The 25,735-nt window shown below is 38.9% G+C and overlaps 1 protein-coding gene across 2 annotated transcripts in view, besides 2 other annotated features; it reads right to left on the bottom strand.

Annotated features, from left to right (window-relative positions):
* The window catches only part of SLC4A4 (solute carrier family 4 member 4), a 509,424-nt gene extending 502,020 nt beyond the window's left edge, over positions 1-7,404 (bottom strand). For both annotated transcript variants that reach the window (XM_024454268.2, NM_001440628.1), the window contains exon 1: positions 7,276-7,404. The gene's annotated coding sequence lies outside the window, so the exon portion shown is untranslated. The remainder of the gene's footprint in view (positions 1-7,275) is intronic.
* Positions 9,920-10,520: an enhancer, noted in NCBI's record as "NANOG-H3K27ac-H3K4me1 hESC enhancer chr4:71925261-71925861 (GRCh37/hg19 assembly coordinates)". NCBI's record gives its function as "activates a minimal SCP1, AML or CMV promoter by ChIP-STARR-seq in primed H9 embryonic stem cells {active_cell/tissue: H9 hESC(primed)}" and the evidence as "EXISTENCE:reporter gene assay evidence [ECO:0000049][PMID:30033119]".
* Positions 10,521-11,123: an enhancer, noted in NCBI's record as "NANOG-H3K27ac-H3K4me1 hESC enhancer chr4:71924658-71925260 (GRCh37/hg19 assembly coordinates)". NCBI's record gives its function as "activates a minimal SCP1, AML or CMV promoter by ChIP-STARR-seq in primed H9 embryonic stem cells {active_cell/tissue: H9 hESC(primed)}" and the evidence as "EXISTENCE:reporter gene assay evidence [ECO:0000049][PMID:30033119]".

Here is a 25,735-nt window from a genome sequence, read left to right as displayed (position 1 = left end):
ATAAAACAAATAAATGAGAAAATCTTCTGATTCTTTGACCTGTAGCCTAATCCAAAGACAGACTTATGAGGGTTATTTGTGAGACAGGAAATCCTTAAACAGCTGGTTCCCATTTCTATTCTTACAGCATCTGCATTGAGACATTTGGAAAGCATAATATCAACTCTAAAAAAAAACTAATTTTATTCATTAAGAAAATTAAATGCTGTACTTTTAGAAAAAGAGAAGCGTTCAGAAACAAATCATTGTGTGGGAACTTAGGGAGGTTAACAATTATCATTCTGGCTTAAAGTAGTTGTAAATAACTGTCCAGAGAAAGAGTAGAAGCTAAATGTTTTTCAACCAGTGCTTTTGGGGTTGGTAGTATATAAAATAAGGATAAAGTGACTTGGAGATGTTGAGAAAACTGGTTTTAATAACATCATCTTTTCGGTGTCCATGATCTCTAAGGGTCCCAATCAAAATTTGGAAAATATATGAGAGAAATGCAAATAGCTGCCAATAACAGAAAATCCTATAAACAGCAGCTTAACAAGAAAGTAATTTTCTCATGTAGCAAGAAACTCAGAAATAGGTGGACCAAAGCTGGTGCAGCCTGTCAAGAGTGTTATCAAGGAAATAATTTCCTTCTTTCTACCTGCTCTGTCGTCTTTCAAGTCTGTTTGGTTTTGTTCTTGTTTTTGTTTTTCTGTTTTTTGGTTTTTTTTGTCCTCAGGGATACAAGATTGAGAATGTACCTTTGGCCTCTATGTCCATGTTCCATAGAAAGGCAGAAAAGTACAAAGTCTAATCCTTGTAAAGTTTCTTTAAAGACTACTCTGCCAGACTTTTTCCTTTCATCTCATTAGCCAGAATTGGTCACATGACTACTTTTATTTGTAAGGGAATCTGGAGAGGTGAATATTTTATCTATGTATGTGCCTGCCCTGAAAAAAATAATGATTCTCTTTAGTAAGAAAGAAAAAGAGAATATGTATTGTATAGGCAACTGGCAGGGTCAGCCAAAGGCTGCCCTCTAACAAACGTGTAACTCAATGGAACCAGTTGGGAATGTCTGTCTTTGGGATGCAGCAACACATCACAACTGTCATATATGTCATGACAAAAGACTGAACTTATTCCTAATCCTCAAACTTTGTATCAGTCACTCCCATTCATGATGTTTTATGTAAAAAGCACTGCTAAAAATGGCTGTCCCATGTTAAGTAATGGCACACACCTGTAATCCCAACACTTTGGGAAGCCAAGGCAGGCAGATCACTTGAGCCCAGGAATTTGAGGCCAGCCTGGGCAACGTAGTGAGATCCCCTCGTCTCTACAAAAAAATGCAAAAAATTAGCTGGGTGTGGTGGCGCATACCTGTAGTCTCAGCTACTTGGGAGGCTAAGGTTGGAGGATCACTTGACACTGAGAGGCGGAGGTTGCAGGTTGCAGTGAGCGGTGATCCCGCCACCCTAGCCTGGATGACAGAGCAAGACACTGCCTAAAAAAAAAAAAGAAAAAAAGAAAAAAAGGTTGCCCTGACAAAACTAATGTATGGTGATGAAAATCAGACTAGTGGTTATCCTTGGGAGTAGGTAATGCCTAAGAGAGAGAGCACACCTGAGAGTCTGACGGTACCAAAAATGGTCTGTATTTTGATCTGGGTGGTGGTGAGATGGATGTATATATACTTTAAAATGTTTGTTGAACAAACAGTGGCCAGGCGCAGTGGCTCACGCCTGTAATCCCAACACTTTGGGAAGCCAAGGCGGGCAGATCATCTGAGGTCAGGAGTTCGAGACCAGCCTGACTAACATGGTGAAACCCCGTCTCTACTAAAAATACAAAAATTAGCTAGATGTGGTGGCACTTGCCTGTAATCCCAGCTACTCGGGTGGCTGAGGCAGGAGAATCACTTGAACCTGAGAGGCAGAGGTTGCAGTGAGCCGAGATCATGCCACTGCACCCCAGCCTGGGCGACAAGAGCAAAACTCCATCTCAAAAAAAAAAAAAAAAAAACGTTTGTTCAAAAAGGCCATATGCAGTGGCTCACATCCATAATCCCAACACTATGGGAAGCGAAGGCAGGAGGATTGCTTGAGGCCAGGAGTTTGAGACCAAACTAGGCAACATAGCAAGATCCTATCTCTACAAAAATTTTTAAAAATTAGCCAGGTGTGTTGTCTCAGGCCTGTAGTCCCAGCTACTCAGGAGGCTGAAGTGGAAGGATCACTTGAGCCCAGGAGTCAAGGCTGCGGTGAGCTATGATCATACCAGCGCACTCTAGACTGGGCAGCAAAGTGAGACCCCCAACTCAAAAAAAAAAAAGTTTAAGAGGCACAGACTTTATATAAACTATACCCCAATTTAAGAAGAACTATCCTGGTATTTCCTTTTATTCAGTCACAACCTATTTAGGCCTGGGTTATCCAAATTGCTCTCTCTTTCTCCCCTACTAAGAATCAGACTCGTAGATTCAACATTCCAATGGCAGATAGTACAAATGCAAAGTCACAAGGAAAACAGAAACACAAATACATTTAGCTGGCAGGGAGATCAAAGAAAAGTAAATAATGAACTATGGCTTCATCAAACATTTACAGAACAGCACAGTGCAGAACAAAATAGCCAATAATCAAGATATACGTTTGAATAATATTTGTTTTAGAGCAATTTATTTTCAAATTTGCAATTGGTTCTAAGTCTTGCATTTAAATCTAACATTTTTAAGAGATTATAATAGAACTTTGGTTAATTGTGGTTTTAGAAACTATAATCTTTCAAAGCTTTAAAAAATGTTTTTGAAAATTAAAAAAAAAAACTCTTTCCTTTTTGAGATTCTGTGTTTGCATTGCCCTACTGTTCAGTGACCTATATGTCAAAGCAGCTGCCAAACACTATGGTAGTACTAAGAAAATACATTTGAACTGCTTTTCACACTATTTTTTTTTTCTCTGCATGTGTGAGAGACTTCCCCATTTTCAGGAAGAAGTTGTAGAGAATTGCTTTCCTTAGTTCTGGCCCTCTGCCTCTTTCGGTCAAAAATACAACACTCCCCACTACCTCATCTCTACCCCCTTACCTCTCAACAGAAGTAATTTTTGGCAGGAGGCTAAAGAGCGAAGTAAAGTCATAGGCCAAGGATGGCCAAAGTCAATGAACTCTAGGGCAAACCCACTAAGCTCCCTCCCAGCACAAGCCAAAATTTGAGGGGTATAGGATAAGCAAAGTAACTGAAAAACAAACTGCAACAAGGAGTGCCACTGGTAGGAAGGAACTGCCTGAAATTCACCCAAGAGCACCAGGCTGCCCCATCAGCAATAGTTTCTTCAGTAGGGATTCTATCGATTCTGAGCTGGTAGTAATATGAGGCCAAGAAATAATCAGACATCAAAGAGAAGAAAGAACTTGATAGTATTAACAGCAATTATTCCCAATTTGATTAATTTGTCTTTTCTCAAGGAAAAATTACAAAGAAAATTTGGAATTTACTCTAGCCCTGCTAAAATACACCTCTCTGGAACTGTTTCTGCTATGTATGAATCAAAAACTTCTTATTTTCTAAATTTTTATCATCTCAGGGATTTTTGTAAAGGGCTACACCTTTAAATCCTTTAGAATGAGACAGCTGTGTTATCACGGAAAGGGAATGCACCTTGAACCAGAATATCAAATTTGAAAGTCATAGCTTTGCCACTTACTAGATATAAAATGGGAAATAATACCTAGCTTCACAAAGCTGTTATAAGGAATAATGATGTTTTGTGCCCTGTAGTAGCGTATACAAATGTAAGGTATGAAAGAGGCAGTATCACCAATTAGAAACATCAGAGGCTTTGGATCCAGAGAGATCCTGGTTCAAATCTCAGCATTATTACTTTGACCAAGTTAAGTCCTTTGAACTTCAATTGCCCCATCTGGACTGTTGCAAAGATTAAATATTAACATCTATAAAAGCCCAGTCATTTAACAAGACATCCAGTAAATGACAGCTATTATTTTGAGGGCTTTTTTCTTCCATTTATTAATAGTCATTTTTCATTCATTGATTCAAGAAATACTTATTGAGCTGTGTTAGATATTTATTGTACTGTATTAGAGTATAATGGAAGGCATATACAACTCCTGCCCTTGTGGAGTGATCATCTAGTAGGAGGCACAAACAAATAAATAGGCAATTACAATATAATTTTAGATATATTAAAAACCACAGTTACTTTTGTACCAACCTAATACAATAGCAAAAGTATATATGGTCCTATGGGAGCCCAGAGGAGAGACACTTCATCCAGACTTAGGATGGTACCTCAGAGAAAGTGACATTGAAATGATAACTGAAAGGTGAGTAGGAATTGTCGAGTGAAGGGAAGGATGTAAGGGCAATTTTCCAGACAAACACATGCGCAAAGTCCCAGAAGCAAGAGAGATCATGTTAGCCAAAGATAATCTCAAAATATCCAGCAACACGTACCCTTTGTTCTGGGATTAGAATATATATATATTGTCAAATAGATCTTTCTGTCCTTTTCCTGTCGATTTATATCACGTCTTTCAGCCTTTCATCGACAAATAGCAATTGAAGAAAATATATTTTCATCTTCAGCCAAAATCATACCATTAGCAAGTATAAATTCCATTCACCAATCACCATTATCATGTATAACTTTCTCATTATATGGCCCAATAATTCACAACATATATTCTTATTTCAGTCTGGTGATACTCCAAGCATAGCATCAGACTGGATGACGATGGGCAAAATACCCCCTACCCTTCATTAACTTAACAGTACAATCAGAAAAATAAAATAAAATGGATGATGTAAAACACCATACGGTTAAATGTTATTTGAATGGTTGAACAATAAATATAATAGAAACTTAGACAAGGATGGCTCATGACAAAAATCTTATAAATGCCACTGTAGCTTGGGAGTATTTTCCTCATATCATTCAGTGAGGCATATGGCCTTACTATATACAGACAGCTTTGATGAGTTCATTCGTTCAGTCATTCAAAAAATATTCAAAGGTTTATTATTATATTTTATACAACAGGGACAGAGATAAAGACCCTACTCATGCAAATCTTATATTTTTGTTGGCAGAAGAGGAGGCAATAAACAGAAAAACAAGTTAACACCTTGCATGGATACCTTATTGAATCTTCAAAGCAACTCCATGAGGTAGAATTATCACCCTCATTTTATAGAAGAGACAGAAGGATGTTAAATAACTCGTCTACGATTAGATAGCTAGCAAGTGGCACAGCGCAAATTTTAACCTAGGTCTATCAGATGCTAAAGCCATTCCACTCCACTGCTGAAATGTTCCATGTCCATGAACCACAGAGATTGCTGGAGGCTGCCCTAATACGTGACCAGTCCTGAAATTGTGTGCCCAGGATTTAGCCAAGTGGTTCTCACTCTTTCCTTCCACTTAGCTAGGTCCTGACATATTTCTTACTCCTGCGATGGCCTTCCTTCCATCTGCATTGCTTTTAATTTTTATTTTGGTTTTCATTTCAAATTATCACTACGGGTTCAATTTTATCCAATTCTCTCCTCTACTTTTAACATCTTCAACAAATTCTCTGTTCATTTTCCTAATTCACCAAAACCAGTTATTGATTAGTACTATTATATTCCCCTTCAAAGGCATGACTCTAATGGGCTCTGCAGCAACTGTGGAATATTAAAAGGATTGCTGTAATTGGAATTATACATATTAACAATAGCTCTACCATCAAGCAGTTAAGAGCATTGCACTTTTCTACATTATCTCATTTCATCTTTTCACTAGAACTGCAAGTTACTAAAAATTGTCCCTGATGAAGAATTGAGGTTCAGAAAAGCTGAATTACTTGCTCAAGGCCAGGATACAGTAAATCCAGGTCTGGCTTCCCACTATACCATACATATTGCCTCTCTAAAATTATAGAAATCACAGAAATGTGGATTTGAAAGAGCCCTGTAGAACCTATTTTTTTTAATTTTTTATTTTTAATGTTTTGGGTACATAGTAGGTGTATGTATTTATGGGGTACCTGAGATATTTTGATACAGACATACAGTGTGTAATAATCAAAGGACCTTTAGGTCCTTTGTAAACAATAAAGCACTTTGCAAACAATAAAGCACTTTACAAATGCTCCCTGACCTTTCTTTATAAGCAGGTTAGACCTGTAAAAAAATTATTTTTAAATGTAAATCATTTGGGGTGGATACTCCTGTATATAATACATCACTGATTTCACAATCACAAATTAAATAGAGCACTATATCCATACCTTTTCCTAGTGGCAAAATTGTTTTACATTACCACTACACACAAGACGAAGTTACAATGCAAGTGTCTCTCAAACTCTTTTGGACAAGAAAAATACCAACTTTGGAACAGGTATGAAACAATAAATTTCATCTTAAATATACAGTTATGTAAAATAATTATATAGCTTGAAATAGGGCTGGCTTTAAATAAATTTTCTAATATAACTTTATTAGAATTTTTACACATATTAAAAATACCAGGTACAAACAATTATTGTAATTATAATAGAAAATAAATATTTTCTTTTTTCTTATTGAGAATTTGACATTTATTGACTCATTTAATAAAATTCTTTAGTTATGAGAGAATGATAATTTAACAATAGCTAAGAAAAGTTAGTGAAGGAAGCTAGAATTGTAATAAAATAATAGAGGCAAAAGAAAAACTACGTAACACATATAACCTGACGTTTAATGGAGATTTTGGCAAATTACTGTACCCGACAACAGAAACGTTTCAGAACACTTTATAGAAACTACCAATAAAATTGGTTAAATTGTATTATTCGTAAAATGCCCACATGTATGCTCGTTTAAAATGATCCATGGGTATGACACTAAGTCCTTTTATCCAAGTAAATAGAAAATTCCATTTCTCTATTAACTTTCTACTTCTTTACCATTAAAATTCATCTAACTTAGTGCATTAATCTTAAAATCTGTCATTTCCAGGATTGCTTCTGTGTGTTCTTCTCTTGGCATTCATATTGTTTCTCTTTCTTTTCCAAGGATCTTATTCTAAAATACTATAAAAATATATGAGCATATATATACTTGCGTGTGTGCACTGTATTTGCACCTTTTTCTAGATTAGTATTTCTTTTAACAATGGATGAAAATCAAATCAGGACAGAAGGTTCATCGCTTCCTCACCCCTAATTAAGGCAGAAAGGTGAAAATACATCATGTCGTTTGTGTGGCATATGCCTACCACACTAAAAGAAAATATTTATTGTTTTACTTACAGTCAATGTCCTTCAAATTGTCTGTGGTAATATGTTTTTCAGCAATGTCGTCTGAAAAATCAAAGAAATCCACTTTTCTACCTTCTAAGCTTCTTATATCTTCTGAATGATGCACGCTCAAGAGTTGCCAAATGAGATGGGCAAAGGCAGCCAAATAGGACCTCCTAGCCAACCTAAAAATAGCAGGTGGTGGTGGACAAATATACCATTTTTCCCTTGCTCTTTTTCTTCCCTCTAAGGGATAGGTACCATAAACATGCCTTGTTGAAAATTAAAACAGTACAAAAAGAATTCTATTCCCTCTTGCCCTAAGAACTAGAGAAATGATCAGTTTTAAAATGTGTGCCTTTTCAGCAGGAAGATGTGAAAGTCAAAGGAGTTATTTTTGCATTTCTTACAGAAAGATTCTCATACCCAATTTCCATTTGTTCTAAAAAGAAAACTGACCACAACTTGCTGGAATCGAGAGTTGCGTTTGCCTTTTATTTTTCTTTCCTGGAGCTCCTTGAATAATAACTATTAACATTTTGTGTTTTATAGTTCACAAAGCCCTTTCACAGATTTTATATTATTGGCTCCTTACAACAGCTTGTAAAATAGTGCTTCATCTAACACACACAAGCATGAGCAAATAGAATTTCTGGAGAAAATGTTATAATAAATTTTCTTAGATTAGAGGTGTTTTATAAATGTAAAAACTGGGACTACAGGCACCCGCCACCATGCCCAGCTAATTTTTTCTGTATTTTTAGTAGAGACGGGCTTTCACCATTTTGGCCATGCTGGTCTTGAACTCCTGACCTCAAGCAATTCACCTGCCTCAGCCTCCCAAAGTGCTGGGATTACAGGTGTGAGCCACCATGCCCAGCCAATAGCTGAAACTTTACTTGTACTTTTCAAACATTATAGAATCAAGAAATGATGGGCATAATTGCATTAAAAAATAACAGACATAAGAGAATTTTCACAATATACTTTAAGGGAAAAAAGCAGGGCACAAAATTGAATCTACAGCATAATCTCAACTTGGTAAAAAAGAAAAATTAGATGCAAGTACATAAAGCTGGAATACAATAGTCAGTTAGGATAGTGTTATCTCTGCATGATGGGATCCACAGGTCTATTTTCTTACTTGAACATTTCTGCAATCTCCGAATTGTTTTAATGGGCATATTGTTTTGTGTTTTTGAGAAAGTGTCTCACTCTGTCACCCAGGCTGGAGTGCAGTGACATGCCATAATCATAGCTAACTGCAGCTTCAATCTGGCATATTGTATTTTTATAAAGAAAAAACATGTTTACATTTATTGTCATTGCCAACTGGAGAGCAAGTGGAAGTAAAAAAATCACCTCAAATTATAAATCAATGGAAAACATTAATATACCCAATTTCTAACTTATAAAATGTTTAGCTTTATGTCCATTAAGTTAGGTACAGGTACCTCTCATATAACATTGAAAAAGGCTTTAATAAATATTACTGATAATCAAATCTTAGTATAAGAAATTATGTATTATTACATTTCCAATACCAAAGGTAGGATTCCAGTTTCTGAATGTAGACAAAATATCTCTAAAGATGACAAATACACACAAATGTAGAAAACAGGTCTATGCATATGTGTATATGCACACACATGAGGATATATGAAATTCAGTATTTCTAGTAAACTATACTTTCCATTAATCTATACTTTTTTATTTATAATTTTCCAGACTGTTTAATTTTCTGTATTAAATACTGCTCTAGCCCCCATGAAATTGGGAATGCCTCCCCTTGCCTTGATTAGTTTGTTTACAATAAAATAGAAATTGCAGGATACCAAGAGATGGAGATGAGTCAAAGGATTTCATTCACGTTCCTTTTAGTCCGTATTAAATAAAGTGTTACCCAGGTATTACCCAGGTGTTACCTGCACTGCTCCACCAAAGACGGCATTCTTTTTTTTTTTTTTTTTTTGAGACGGAGTCTCGCTCTGTCGCCCAGGCTGGAGTGCAGTGGCGCGATCTCGGCTCACTGCAAGCTCCGCCTCCCGGGTTCACGCCATTCTCCTGCCTCAGCCTCCCGAGTAGCTGGGACTACAGGCGAAAGAGGGCATTCTTTAACTGTCCGAAGAGTCTGAAGTGCTGATGGGATTTTGCCGGCAGCCTGCAACCATGCCCTTGGAGGAAGATCTGAGTAACTGTTTGGGTAAAGGTGAGGTAAAGAGTATTCTGCTTCTCTGATCACTTCTCCAGAGCAGAAATATTGGACTCATGACACTAACCATATTCTTTTACCCAAATAAAAGAAGAGTAATAGGCTTCTAACTTTTACAAGAACAGAAAGAGCAAGGGCAATTTCTAAACAGACTTTCAAGATAATTTATAGGTATTAATAGCTATCTATTTAATTTATCGTAATACTAATACAAAGTTCTCTTTGTCACAACCCATCTTCTAGAAAGGGGTGCAAAGATCTTTACATACCTTGCTTAAAAGCAATAGATAATAACCATAGCCTATTAATCCCATCTATATCCCAAGAGAAAGGTCTCTTGGTGTTGAGTATCAAGCATCAAATTCTCCTGAGAGTTTTCCATAACAAATATTTATTATTTTTATCATCTGAAAACAATAAACACAGGTTTACATTTTAAAATTACCAGACCATTTACATTCACAAAGGAAAAATTATACTTTTATTAAACATTAATGGAGATACTAAAAATATTTATATTGAACACCATTCAAAAAATAAAAGTACAGAAAATAAAACTAAAGTAGAATGCTAAGAATCTGGATAGCAATCTAATTACCTCTATGTAGTTTCAAACTTACTCAAGGGAAAGAGTAATTCCTAGCAACTTAGCTATTTCTTCACCAGTCCCTGATATGCAGTAGGAGCTCAATGAATATTTGCTGAATAAATAAATTTAACGAGCAAACCTCGGGGGAGGAGCCAAGATGGCCGAATAGGAACAGCTCCGGTATACATCTCCCAGCCTGAGCAACACAGAAGACGGGTGATTTCTGCATTTCCATCTGAGGTACCGGGTTCATCTCACTAGGGAGCGCCAGACAGTGGGCACAGGTCAGTGGGTGCGCGCACCATGCGCGAGCCGAAGCAGGGCGAGGCATTGCCTCACTCGGGAAGCGCAAGGGGTCAGGGAGTTCCCTTTACTAATCAAAGAAAGGGGTGACAGACGGCACCTGGAGAATCAGGTCACTCCCACCCGAATACTGCGCTTTTCCGACGGGCTTAAAAAACGGTGCACCACAAGATTATATCCCGCACCTGGCTAGGAGGGTCCTACGCCCATGGAGTCTCGCTGATTGCTAGCACAGCAGTCTGAGATCAAACTGCAAGGCGGCAGCGAGGCTGGGGGAGGGGCGCCCGCCATTGCCCAGGCTTGCTTAGGTAAACAAAGCAGCCTGGAAGCTCCAACTGGGTGGAGCCCACCACAGCTCAAGGACGCCTGCCTGCCTCTGTAGGCTCCACCTCTGGGGGCAGGGCACAGACAAACAAAAAGACAGCAGTAACCTCTGCAGACTTAAATGTCCCTTTCTGACAGCTTTGAAGAGAGCAGTGGTTCTCCCAGCACGCAGCTGGAGATCTGAGAATGGGCAGACTGCCTCCTCAAGTGGGTCCCTGACCCCTGACCCCCGAGCAGCCTAACTGGGAGGCACCCTCCAGCAGGGGCACACTGACACCTCACACGGCAGGGTACTCCAACAGACCTGCAGCTGAGGGTCCTGTCTGTTAGAAGGAAAACTAACAAACAGAAAGGACATCCACACCAAAAACCCATCTGTACATCACCATCATCAAAGACCAAAAGTAGATAAAACCACAAAGATGGGGAAAAAGCAGAACAGAAAAACTGGAAACTCTAAAACGCAGAGCGCCTCTCCTCCTCCAAAGGAACGCAGCTCCTCACCAGCAACGGAACAAAGCTGGACGGAGAATAACTTTGACGAGCTGAGAGAAGAAGGCTTCAGACGATCAAATTACTCTGAGCTACGGGAGGACATTCAAACCAAAGGCAAAGAAGTTGAAAAATTTTGAAAAAAATTTAGAAGAATGTATAACTAGAATAACCAATACAGAGAAGTGATTAAAGGAGCTGATGGAGCTAAAAACCAAGGCTCGAGAACTACGTGAAGAATGCAGAAGCCTCAGGAGCCAATGCAATCAACTGGAAGAAAGGGTATCAGCAATGGAAGATGAATGAAATGAAGCAAGAAGGAAAGTTTAGAGAAAAAAGAATAAAAAGAAACGAGCAAAACCTCCAAGAAATATGGGACTATGTGAAAAGACCAAATCTACGTCTGATTGGTGTACCTGAAAGTGATGGGGAGAATGGAACCAAGTTGGAAAACACCCTGCAGGATATTATCCAGGAGAATTTCCCCAATCTAGCAAGGCAGGCCAACGTTCAGATTCAGGAAATACAGAGAACGCCACAAAGATACTCCTCGAGATGAGCAACTCCAAGACACATAATTGTCAGATTCACCAAAGTTGAAGTGAAGGAAAAAATGTTAAGGGCAGGCAGAGAGAAAGGTCGGGTTACCCTCAAAGGGAAGCCCATCAGACTAACAGCGGATCTCTCGGCAGAAACCCTACAAGCCAGAAGAGAGTGGGGGCCAATATTCAACATTCTTAAAGGAAAGAATTTTCAACCCAGAATTTCATATCCAGCCAAACTAAGCTTCATAAGTGAAGGAGAAATAAAATACTTTACAGACAAGCAAATGCTGAGAGATTTTGTCACCACCAGGCCTGCCCTAAAAGAGCTCCTGAAGGAAGCGCTAAACATGGAAAGGAACAACCGGTACCAGCCGCTGCAAAATCATGCCAAAATGTAACGACCATCGAGACTAGGAAGAAACTGCATCAACTAACGAGCAAAATAACCAGCTAACATCATAATGACAGGATCCAATTCACACGTAACAATATTAACTTTAAATGTAAATGGACTAAATGCTCCAATTAAAAGACACAGACTGGCAAATTGGATAAAGAGTCAAGACCCATCAGTGTGCTGTATTCAGGAAACCCATCTCACGTGCAGAGACACACATAGGCTCAAAATAAAAGGATGGAGGAAGATCTACCAAGCAAATGGAAAACAAAAAAAGGCACGGGTTGCAATCCTAGTCTCTGATAAAACAGACTTTAAACCAACAAAGATCAAAAGAGACAAAGAAGGCCATTACATAATGGTAAAGGGATCAATTCAACAAGAAGAGCTAACTATCCTAAATATATATGCACCCAATACAGGAGCACCCAGATTCATAAAGCAAGTCCTGAGTGACCTACAAAGAGACTTAGACTCCCACACATTAATAATGGGAGACTTTAACACCCCACTGTCAACATTAGACGGATCAACGAGACAGAAAGTCAACAAGGATACCCAGCAATTGAACTCAGCTCTGCACCAAGCAGACCTAATAGACATCTACAGAACTCCCCACCCCAAATCAACAGAATATACATTTTTTTCAGCATCACACCACACCTATTCCAAAATTGATCACATACTTGGAAGTAAAGCTCTCCTCAGCAAATGTAAAAGAACAGAAATTATAACAAACTATCTCTCAGACCACAGTGCAATCAAACTAGAACTCAGGATTAAGAATCTCACTCAAAACCGCTCAACTACATGGAAACTGAACAACCTGCTCCTGAATGACTACTGGGTACATAACGAAATGAAGGCAGAAATAAAGATGTTCTTTGAAACCAACGAGAACAAAGACACAACATACCAGAATCTCTGGGACGCATTCAAAGCAGTGTGTAGAGGGAAATTTATAGCACTAAATGCCCACAAGAGAAAGCAGGAAAGATATAAAATTGACACCCTAACATCACAATTAAAAGAACTAGAAAAGCAAGAGCAAACACATTCAAAAGCTAGCAGAAGGCAAGAAATAACTAAAATCAGAGCAGAACTGAAGGAAATAGAGACACAAAAAACCCTTCAAAAAATTAATGAATCCAGGAGCTGGTTTTTTGAAAGGATCAACAGAATTGATAGAATGCTAGCAAGACTAACAAAGAAGAAAAGAGAGAAGAATCAAATAGATGCAATAAAAAATGATAAAGGGGATATCACCACCGATCCCACAGAAATACAAACTACCATCAGAGAATACTACAAACACCTCTACACAAATAAACTAGAAAATCTAGAAGAAATGGATAAATTCCTTGACACATACACTCTCCCAAGACTAAACCAGGAAGAAGTTGAATCTCTGAATAGACCAATAACAGGATCTGAAATTGTGGCAATAATCAATAGCTTACCAACCAAAAAGAGTCCAGGACCAGATGGATTCACAGCCGAATTCTACCAGAGGTACAAGGAGGAACTGGTACCATTCCTTCTGAAACTATTCCAATCAATAGAAAAAGAGGGAATCCTCCCTAACTCATTTTATGAGGCCAGCATCATTCTGACACCAAAGCCGGGCAGAGACACAACCAAAAAAGAGAATTTTAGACCAATATCCTTGATGAACATTGATGCAAAAATCCTCAATAAAATACTGGCAAACTGAATCCAGCAGCACATCAAAAAGCTTATCTACCATGATCAAGTGGGCTTCATCCCTGGGATGCAAGGCTGGTTCAATATATGCAAATCAATAAATGTAATCCAGCATATAAACAGAGCCAAAGACAAAAACCACATGATTATCTCAATAGATGCAGAAAAGGCCTTTGACAAAATTCAACAACCCTTCATGCTAAAAACTCTCAATAAATTAGTTATTGATGGGACATATTTCAAAATAATAAGAGCTATCTATGACAAACCCACAGCCAATATCATACTGAATGGACAAAAACTGGAAGCATTCCCTTTGAAAACTGGCACAAGACACGGATGCCGTCTCTCACCACTACTATTCAACATAGTGTTGGAAGTTCTGGCCAGGGCAATTAGGCAGAAGGAAATAAAGGGTATTCAATTAGGAAAAGAGGAAGTCAAACTGTCCCTGTTTGCAGATGACATGATTGTATATCTAGAAAACCCCATTGTCTCAGCCCAAAATCTCCTTAAGCTGAAGCAACTTCAGCAAAGTCTCAGGATACAAAATCAATGTGCAAAAATCACAAGCATTCTTATACACCAACAACAGACAAACAGAGAGCCAAATCATGAGTGAACTCCCATTCACAATTGCTTCAAAGAGAATAAAATACCTAGGAATCCAACTTACAAGGGATGTGAAGGACCTCTTCAAGGAGAACTACAAACCGCTGCTCAAGGAAATAAAAGAGGATACAAACAAATGGAAGAACATTCCATGCTCATGGGTAGGAAGAATCAATATCGTGAAAATGGCCATACTGCCCAAGGTAATTTACAGATTCAATGCCATCCCCATCAAGCTACCAATGACTTTCTTTACAGAATTGGAAAAAACTACTTTAAAGTTCATATGGAACCAAAAAAGAGCCCGCATCGCCAAGTCAATCCTAAGCCAAAAGAACAAAGCTGGGGGCATCACACTACCTGACTTCAAACTATTCTACAAGGCTACAGTAACCAAAACAGCATGGTACTGGTACCAAAACAGAGATATAGATCAATGGAACAGAACAGAGCCCTCAGAAATAACGCCGCATATCTACAACTATCTGATCTTTGACAAACCTGAGAAAAACAAGCAATGGGGAAAGGATTCCCTATTTAGTAGATGGTGCTGGGAAAACTGGCTAGCCATATGTAGAAAGCTGAAACTGGATCCCTTCCTTACACCTTATACAAAAATCAATTCAAGATGGATTAAAGACTTAAACGTTAGACCTAAAACCATAAAAACCCTAGAAGAAAACCTAGGCATTACCATTCAGGACATAGGCATGGGCAAGGACTTCATGTCTGAAACACCAAAAGCAATGGCAACAAAAGACAAAATAGACAAATGGGATCTAATTAAACTAAAGAGCTTCTGCACAGCAAAAGAAACTACCATCAGAGTGAACAGGCAACCTACAAAATGGGAGAAAATTTTCACAACCTACTCATCTGACAAAGGGTTAATATCCAGAATCTACAATGAACTCAAACAAATTTACAAGAAAAAAACAAACAACCCCATCAAAAAGTGGGCGAAGGACATGAACAGACACTTCTCAAAAGAAGACATTTATGCAGCCAAAAAACACATGAAAAGATGCTCACCATCACTGGCCATCAGAGAAATGCAAATCAAAACCACAATGAGATACCATCTCACACCAGTTAGAATGGCAATCATTAAAAAGTCAGGAAACAACAGGTGCTGGAGAGGATGTGGAGAAATAGGAACACCTTTACACTGTTGGTGGGACTGTAAACTAGTTCAACCGTTGTGGAAGTCAGTGTGGCGACTCCTCAGTGATCTAGAACTAGAAATAACATTTGACCCAGCCATCCCATTACTGGGTATATACCCAAAGGACTATAAATCATGCTGCTATAAAGACACATGCACACGTATGTTTATTGCGACATTATTCACAATAGCAAAGACTTGGAACCAACCCAAATGTCCAACAATGATAGACTGGATTAAGAAAATGTGGCACATATACACCATGGAATACTATGCAGCCATAAAAAATGATGAGTTCATGTCCTTTGTAGGGACATGGATGAAATTGGAAATCATCATTCTCAGTAAACTATCACAAGAACAAAAAACCAAACACCGCATATTCTCACTCATAGGTGGGAATTGAACAATGAGATCACATGGACACAGGAAGGGGAACATCACACTCTGGGGACTGTTGTGGGGTGGGGGGAGGGGGGAGGGATAGCACTGGGAGATATACCTAATGCTAGATGACGAGTTAGTGGGTGCAGCACACCAGCATGGCACATGTATACATATGTAACTAACCTGCACAATGTGCACATGTACCCTAAAACTTAAAGTATAATAATAAAAAAATAAATAAAAATAAATAAAAAATTAAAAAATAAATAAATAAATTTAACATTAAATGAATTGCCTAATGTTTAATATTTATATCAAAGACATTCTCCCAAGAATCTCAACCACCATTCCAATCCCACTCCCCAGAGGTAACCACAATAAACAGTTTGGTGAATCTCTTTCTGCACATATGCCCTACATACTTTTTATAAAGAAAGAAATGGGGTCATATTATAACTACTTCCACTTAAAAAATACAGTGGATATCTTATAATAGTTCTAGCTTATTCATTCTTTTTAGTAACTGCACAAACACCAATTATCTAGATATTTTCATCAACAAAGACATTGAGTAAAATAATGATACTAATAGTAATGGCTAACATTTATCAAGCACTGCTCCGCTCATCGAAATGGCACCATTTTATAGGTAGGTACTATTGTTTATGACTCTCTTATAGACAAAAAAAAATTGGAATACATTACTTGCCCAAGGTTATAATGACTTGCCCAAGGTTAGACAGTAAGGAGCAGGGCCAGGATTTATAGCCAGCATTCTGGCTTAGGAACCTGTGTTCTTAATTATTACTGCCTCCAAGAAGTTAAAAATTTTGAAGATAAATTCTATCAACAATGACAGTTGCTATATACCACATGTAAACATAATAGGACATAATTTTTTAAACTATACTGGAATCTTCTATGCTTAGTATTGCCTTCAAAGTAACCATACAAAGAAGTTATTTATACTGTGTAAGTACTTAGTTTAGGGTCTGCTGTTAGTCAAAAACATTCGATTTAGTAAAAAACCATGAATTTCCTTCAGACATACTTTATAAATGAACAAGAAAGTAGGTCTGACTGCCTTATTGCTATCTTTTTTTAATAACCTGCTTTTTTCAAGTTTGACTACCCATCTTATTCACTATACTTGTCACTAAATGATTTATGGCCATTTAAAAAACCATATCCAGTAACACACACACGAAAAACCTGAACCACATTTTTAGAATATATGACCCAGACTCCAAACTCAGATCCAAGAGTGTTTTGAATAATGGTAGTCTTTGGAATAAACATACAGTCTCTGAAAGTAACTATTCTAAAGAGGACAATATTCAATTGGCAGTTTAAGGTCGTTTTGCTTAAAGTTATTTGCCATACTCTACAAGCTTATTTCATTTATGCTATGGTTTTTTAATGTTTTTGTTCCTTTCAAAACTCATGTTGAAACTTAATCCCCAATGCAACAGTGTTGGGAGGTGGGCCCACCAGGAGGTGTTTAGGTAATAAGGGCGGAGCCTCATGGGTTAGAGCCTTACTAAAAAGGGCTGGAGGGAGTGGGTTTGCTCTCTTCCGCTCTTCTGCCAGGTGAGGAAGTTTCTCCCTTCTAGAGGACATGGAGTTCAAGGCACCATCTTGGAAGTCCTTGACACCAAACCTGCAAATGCCTTTATCTTAGCCTTCCCAGCTTCTAAAACAGGGAGGAAATAAATTTCTGTTCTTTATAAATTACCTGCTTCTGTGGTATTCTGGTTAAGCAGCACAAAATGGACTAAGTCAATATACCAATCTAGCAACGAGTTCATGTCAACCAACAGCAAAATAACACGCCATATTGACAATTCGGTTCCCAAGCCAATACTCGCTTTGATAGTATTGTATAACATATCAAAATAGTGTTGGTGAGCCAAGCAGAGTGTAAATTGTTTTATAACTTTAGCCAATTTCCATATTTACTCTTTCAACACAAAGCGATTCCGCTGTCACTGACAGTAACGGCAGTGACAAAATTGCAACTTTAAGAGGTGCTTTACCTTTGGCTAAATCTTAATAAACAGAGAATAACAGTAAAAACAATAAAAAATAATGTGCGCACATGCACACTCACAAATATATTCAATATTACAAAAAGGCAGCATTACTACCAACATTTTGAAGTGACACCAAAGAACATTAAAAGGTTTCAGAATATAGGTCTGACACAGTGGCTCACACATGTAATTCCAGCACTTTGGGAGGCCAAAGCCAGCAGATTATGTGAGCCCAGGAGTTCAAGTCCAGCCTGGGCAACATAGTGAAACCCTATCTCTACAGAAAAAAAAAAAAATAGCTGGGTGTGGTGGCATGCACCTGTAGTCCCAGTTACTCAAGAGGCTGAGGCGGGAGGATTGACTGAGCCTGAGGGTTGAGGCTGCAGTGAGCCATGATTGCACCACTGCACTCTAGGTTGGGCAACAGAACAAGATGGTGTCTGAAAAAAAGAAAATCTCAGAACGATAGGTTTCACCTACCTCTGTTACTGAATCACTTTCTATATCATCTGTCCAAGTTCCGGGTAGTTCCATAGAATAGTAAAAATAGCTATAAGCTTCTCTGTGTACATTATTACTAAGTAAATGGTAAACAGTCTTGGAAGACAGCCATTAATATTTGGTCTGAGTGAAAATTAAAACATTAAATTTCCTGGAAACCTGTTAAGCATAATTACCTAACCTAGTACTATCCCTTAAATACCCAACAATTGATATTCTTCAATCTAATACCAAAAGAAGCAGCTGGGAGTTGTATAGCAGATTTTCTTATATTAAAGTAATTCTAAAAGTTCTGCAGTTTTCATTGCCTGTATTTAATCCAACAGCTCATTTTATTTGTCCCCCTGAATCTGTACGCATAAAATCTCACTCAATGAAATATTTATTAATCAATAATACTGTTAGTCTGGTAGTGCAAGAAACCTCTCATCAGCTACTATTTTTTTCCAACCACTCACCATCAAAATAATGATGCTTAGATTATAGCCAGAGCACAATAAAGAATCAAGTGTATAATGACCTCATGTGGCAAGTGGCTATAATTACTGATTTTTTTCCCCACTAAATTAATATTTTATTTATTTTTTATTATTTTATATATTTAGGGGGCTACAAAGTGATGTTATATGTATCAAATGTGAAATGATCAAATTAATTAACATATTAATCTAATTAACATATCCATCACACATTTTTTGTGATGAGAACATTTGAAATTTACTCAGTAATTTTGAAATATACATTATTATTAACTATAGTCACCATGCTATGCAATATATCTCAAAGAACTTATTCCTGTTGTCTCACTGAAACTTTGTACTCTTTGACCAACATCTTCTCATCCCCCACCTCCTCAGCCTCTGGTAATCACCATTCTACCCTCTGCTTCTATGAGTTTGATTGTTTTAGATGCCACATATAAGTGAGATTATGTGGTCTTTGTCCTTCTGTGCCTAAGTTATTCCAGATCCAAACATATTGTCGCAAATGACAGAATTTCCTCCTTTTTATTTTTATTATTTTTTATTTTTATTTATTTTTTGAGATGGAGTCTTACACTGTTGCCCAGACTGGAGTGCAGTGGCGTGATCTCAGCTCACTGCAACCTCTGCCTCCTGGATTCAAGTGATTCTCGTGCCTCAGCCTCCTGAGTAGCTGGGATCACAGGCATGTACCGCCATGCCCGGCTAATTGTTATCTTTTTAGTAGAGATGGGGTTTCTCCATGTTGGTCAGGCTGGTCTCGAACTCCTGACCTCAGGTGATCCACCTGCCTCGGCCTCCCAAAGTGCTGGGATTACAGGCATGAGCCACCCAGCCCAGCCAGAATTTCCTTCTTTTTAAAGGCTACATAGTATTCAATTGTGTGTATATGCCACGTTTTCTTTACTCAATATTACTTCTTGGCCTTTTGGCTAAGATCAAGTGTGAATACTGCTGCAATGAACATGGGAGTGCAGATATCTCTTCAATATACTGACTTCAAATCCTTTCGATATATACCCAGAAGTGGGATTGCTGGAACATGTAGTAATTCTTAATTTTTTTATAAAGAAAAAAATTATATTTTATTATATATTTACATATTTTATTTTATTTAAGTTCTTTTTTCTTCAACTTTTATTTTAAGTTCTGGGGTACATGTGCAGGATGTGCAGGTTTGTTACGTGGGTAAATGAGTGCCATAGTGGTTTGCTGCACAGATCATCCCATCACCTAGGTATTAAGCCCAGTATCCATTAGCTATTCTTCCTTATGCTCTCCCTTCCGCCACACTCTCTGACAGGCTCCAGTGTGTGTTGTTGTACCCCATGTGTCCATATATTCTCATCATTCAGCTCCCACCTATAAGTGAGAACATGCAGTGTTTGGTTTTCTGTTCCTGCATTAGTTTGCTAAGGATAATGGCTTCCAATTCCGTCCATCCAATTCCATCCCTGTCCCTGCAAAGGGCATTATCCTTTTTATGGCTGCATAGTATTCCACGGTGTACATGTACCATATTTCTTTAACCAGTCTATCATTGATGGGTATTTAGGTTGATTCCATGTCTTTACTATTGTGAATAGCGCTGCGATGAACATATGTGTGCATGTATCTTTATATCAGAATGATTTATAGTCCCTTGGGTATATACCCAGTAATGGGATTGCTGGGTCAAATGGTATTTCTGCTTCAAGGTCTATGAGGAATCACCACACTGTCTTCCACAATGGTTGAACTAATTTACATTCCCACCAACAGTGTAAAAGTGTTCATTTTTCTCTGCAACCTCACCAGCATCTGTTATTTTTTTACTTTTTAATAATAGCCATTCTGACTGACGTGAGATGGTATCTCATTGTTGTTTTGATTTGCATTTCTCTAATGATCAATGATGTTGAGCTTTTTTTCATGTTTGGATTGTTGGCTTCATGTATGTCTTCTTTTGATACGTGTCTGTTCATGTCCTTTGCCCACTTTTTAATGAGGTTTTTTCATATAAATTTCTTTATGTTCCTTGTAGACTGGATATTAGACCTTTGTCAGATGGATTGCAAAAATTTTCTCCCATTCTGTAGGTTAACTGTTCACTCTGATAATAGTTTCTTTTGCTGTGCAGAAGCTCTTTAGTTTAACCAGACCCCATTTGTCAATTTTTGCTTTTGTTGCAATTGCTTTTGGTATTTTCTGCATAAAATTTTTGCCCGTGCCTATGTCCTGAATGGTATTGCCTAGATTTTCTACTAGCGTTTTTGTAGTTTGAGGTTTTAATCCATCTTGAAGTTTTCTTTTATTGTTGCATCTCTCCCAGGTTTTGGTATCAGGATGATGCTGGCCTCATAGAATGAGTTAGGGAGGGCTACCTCTTTTTCAATTTTTTGGAATAGTACCATTAGAAATGGTACCAGCTCTTCTCTGTACCTCTGGTAGAATTCAGCTGTGAATCTGTCTGGTCCTGGTCTTCTTTTGGTGGGTAGGCTATTTATCATTACCTCAATTTCAGAACTTGTTATTGTTATATTGAGGGATTCACTTCCTTTCTGGTTCAGTCTTGGGAGGGTGTATGTGTCCAGGGATTTATCCATTTCTTCTAGATTTTCTAGTTTATGTGCACAGAGATGTTTATACTATTCTCTAATGGTTGGCTGTATTTCTGTGGAGTAAGTGGTGATATCCCCCTTATCATTTCTAATTGTGTTTATTTGATTCTTCTCTCTTTTCTTCTTTATTAGACTAGCTAGCAGTCTATTTTATTAATTTTTTCAAAAAAACACCTCCCGGATTTGTTGATATTTTTGAAGGGTTTTTCATGTCTCTATCTCCTTCAGTTCAGCTCTGATCTTGGTTATTTCTTGTCTTCTGCTAGCTTTGGAGTTTGTTTGCTCTTGGTTCTCTAGTTCTTTTAGTTGAGATGTTACGATGGTAACAAGATCTTTCTAGCTTTTGCATGTGGGCATTTCATGCTATAAATTTCGCTCTTAACACTGCTTTAGTCGCACCCCAGAAATTCTGGTACATTGTCTCTTTGATCTCATTAGTTTCAAATAACTTCTTGATTTCTGCCTTAATTTCATTATTTACCCAAGAGTCATTCAGGAGCAGGTTGTTCAACTTCCATGTAGTTGTGTGGTTTTGAGTGAGTTTCTTGAGTTCTAATTTAATTGTGCTGTGGTCTGGGAGACTGTTATGATTTCAGTTCTTTTGCATTTGCTAAGGAGTGTTTTACTTCTGACTGTGTGATCAATTTTAGAGTAAGTGCCATGTAGTGATAAGGATGTATATTCTGTTGAATTTAGGTGGAGAGTTATGTAGATATCTATCAGGTCCACTTGATCCAGGTCTGAGTTCAGGTTCTGAATATCTTTGTTAATTTTCTTTCTCAATGATCTTTCTAATATTGTCAGTGGGGTGTTAAAAGTGTTGTGTGAGACAATTGTGTGACAGTCTGTCTCTTTGTAGGTCTCTGAGAACTTGCTTTACGAATTTGGGTGCTCCTGTATTGGGTGCATATATATTTAGTATAGTTAGCTCTTCTTGCTGAATTGAACCTTTTACCTTTATGTACTGCCCTTGTCTTTTTTGATCTTTGTTGGTTTAAAGTCTGTTTTGTCAGAAACTAGAATTGCAACCTCTGCTTTTTTCTGTTTTCTGTTTGCTTGGTAAATTTTCCTCTATCCCTTTATTTTGGGCATACATGTGTCTTTGCACAAGAGATGGATATCGAAGACAGCACACTGGTAGGTTTTGGTTCTTTACCCCGCTTGCCATTCTGTGTCTTTTAATTGGGGCATTTAGCCCACTTACATTTAAGGTTAGTGTTGTTATGTATGAATTTGATCCTGTTATCATGATGCTAGTTGGTTATTTTGCAGACTTGTGTATGTGGTTGCTTCATAGTGTCACTGGTCTGTGTACTTCAGTGTGTTTTTGTAGTGGCTGGTAATGGTTTTTCCTTTCCATATTTAGTGCTTCCTTCAGGAGCTCTTGCTAGGCAGGCCTGGTGGTGACAAATTCCCTCAGCATTTGCTTGTATGAAAAGGATCTTATTTCTCCTTCACTTATGAAGCTTAGTTTGGCCAGATATGAAATTATGGATTGGAAATGCTTTTCTTCAATAATGTTGAGTATTGGCACCCAATCTCTTCCAGCTTGTAGGGTTTCTGCTGAGAGGTATGCTGTTAGTCTGATGGATTTCCCTTTGTAGGTGACCTGGCCTTTCTCTATGACTGCCCTTAACATTTTTTCTTTCCTTTTGACACTGGAGAATCTGATGATTATGTGTCTTAGGGTTGATCTGCTCATGGAGTATCTCACTGGAGTTTTCTGCATTTCCTGAATTTGAATGTTGGCTTGTCTTGCTAGGTTGGGGAAGTTCTCCTATATGATATCCTGAAGTATGTTTTACAACTTGGTTCCATTCTCCCCATCTCTTTCAAGTACCCCGGTTAGTTGTAGGCTTGGTATCTTTACATAATGCTATATTTCTTGGGGGTTTTGTTCATTCCTTTTCATTCTTTTTTCTCTATTCTTCTCTGTCTTATTTCAGAAAGAGTCTTCAAGCTCTAAGATTCTTTCCTCCACTTGGTCTATTCTGCTATTGATACTTGTGATTGCATTGTGAAGGTCTTGTGTTGTGTTTTTCGACTCCATTGGGTTGGCTATGTTCCTCTCTAAACTGGCTATTCTGGCTATCAACTCCTGTATTGTTTTATCATGATTCCTAGCTTCTTTGCTTTGGGTTACAGCATGCTCCTTTAGCCCAGTGAAATTCATGATTACACACCTCTGAAGCCTACTTCTGTCAATTCAACCATCTCAGTCTCAGCCTAGTTCTGTGCCCTTGCTGGAGAGGTGTTGTGGTCATTTGGAGAAGAAAAGGCACTCTGGCCTTTTGAGTTTTCAGCATGTTTGCATTGATTCTTTCTCATCTTTGTGGGCTTATCTACCTTCAATCTTTGAGGTTTCTGACATGGTGAATGAGGTTTTTGTGGGGTCTTTGTCATTGTTGTTGTTTTGTGTCTGTTTGTTTGTTTTAACAGTCAGCCCACTCTACCATAGGGCTGCTGTGGTTTGCTGGGGGTCCGCTCCATACCCCAGTTGCCTCATTCTCCCGTACCTGGAGGTATCACCAGCAAAGGCCATGAAACAGCAAAGATGACAGCCAGATCCTTTCTCTGGAAGCTCTATCCCAGGGGGTACTGACCTGTTGCCAGCCTGCACGCACCTATAGGAGATGTCTGGAAACCCCCATTGGGAGGTCTCACCCAGTCAGAAGGAATGGGATCAGGGACCTGCCCAAAGAAGCAGTCTGGCTGTTTTTTGGTAGAGCAGTTGTGCTGCATTAAGGGGCACACTTCCTCATCCAAACTGCCTGCAATCTCCAAAGCTGACAGGCTGGAGTGGCTGAGTCCACCAAACCGCAGAGATGACATCCACCCCTCCTCACAGGAGCTCCATCCCAGGGAGAGATCAGAGCTCTGTCCATAGAACCCTAGCTGGAGTCGTTGAAGCTCCTGCAGGGAGATCCTGCTCAGTGAGGAGAAATGGATCCAGGTGCTGCTTAAAGCAGTCTGGCCACAATCTGGCAAGGCAGCTGTGCTGCACTATGGGGGACCCTTCCTCCCAGACTGTCTGTATTCTCCACAGTCAGCAGGCTAGAGAAGCTAAGTTGATGGAACCGCAGAGATGGCAGCCACCCATTCCCCTGGGAACTTGGACCCATCTCAGGTGGATTTCAACCCGCTGCCATTGGCTGGCTGGGATTCCAAGCCAGTGAGTCTTAATTTGTGAGGTGCTGTGGAAGTGGGGCCCATAGAACGACATTGCTTGGCTCCCTGGATTCAGTCTCCCCTTCCCAGGGATATGTACGGATGAATTTCCTGCCTTGCTGGAGATCCCAGGGCCGGAATATGTAAAACTCCTGGGTCTCTATATGTAAGCAGGTGCTCTGCCAAGACTTCACACAGCTCTGTGTATCAGACCCAAGGCCCTGGTGGCGTGGGCTCATGAGGGGATCTCCTTATCCACAGTGATATTATTTGCTTCTGTGTCCCTGCCCAAATCTCATCTTGAATTATAATCCCCCCATATCGAGGAAGGGACCTGTAATCCCCACATGTTGAAGGAAAGTGGTTGGATCATGAGGGTGGTAGAATCACAAGATCGTGCTGTTCTTGTGACAGTGAGTGAATTCTCATGAACTCTAATGGTTTTGAAAGTGGTAGTTTTTACCTGTGCTCTCACTTCTCCCTCCTGTCACCTGTGGAAAAGGTGCCTGTTTCCCTTTCCACCATGGTGGTAAGCTGTCTGAGGGCTCCCTAGCCAGGAGGAACTGTGAGTCAATTAAATCTCCTTCCTTTATAAATTCCCCAGTCTCGGGGGTATTTCTTTCTTCTTTTTTTTTTTCTTTTTGAGACAGAGTCTCACTCTGTTGCCAGGCTGGAGTAGTGGCCTCATCTTGGCTTACTGCAACCTCCCCTTCCCGGGTTCAAGCGATTCTCCTGCCTCAGCCTCCCAAGTAGCTGGGACTACAGGCGTGTGGCACCACACCCAGCTAATTTTTGTATTTTTAGTAGAGACGGGGTTTCACCATGTTAGCTAGGATGGTCTCGATCTCTTGACCTCGTGATCTGCCCGCCTTGGCCTCCCAAAGTGCTGGGATTACAGGTGTGAGCCGCCAACGGACTAATGCATGCAGGCTGCAAAGATTCGTGGGAGAAGTGTGGT

This window comes from Homo sapiens, chromosome 4, assembly GCF_000001405.40.
Source record: "Homo sapiens chromosome 4, GRCh38.p14 Primary Assembly".
In the NCBI taxonomy this organism is placed as follows: Eukaryota; Metazoa; Chordata; class Mammalia; order Primates; family Hominidae; genus Homo; species Homo sapiens.
This window is presented reverse-complemented; position numbering and strand designations above follow the sequence as displayed.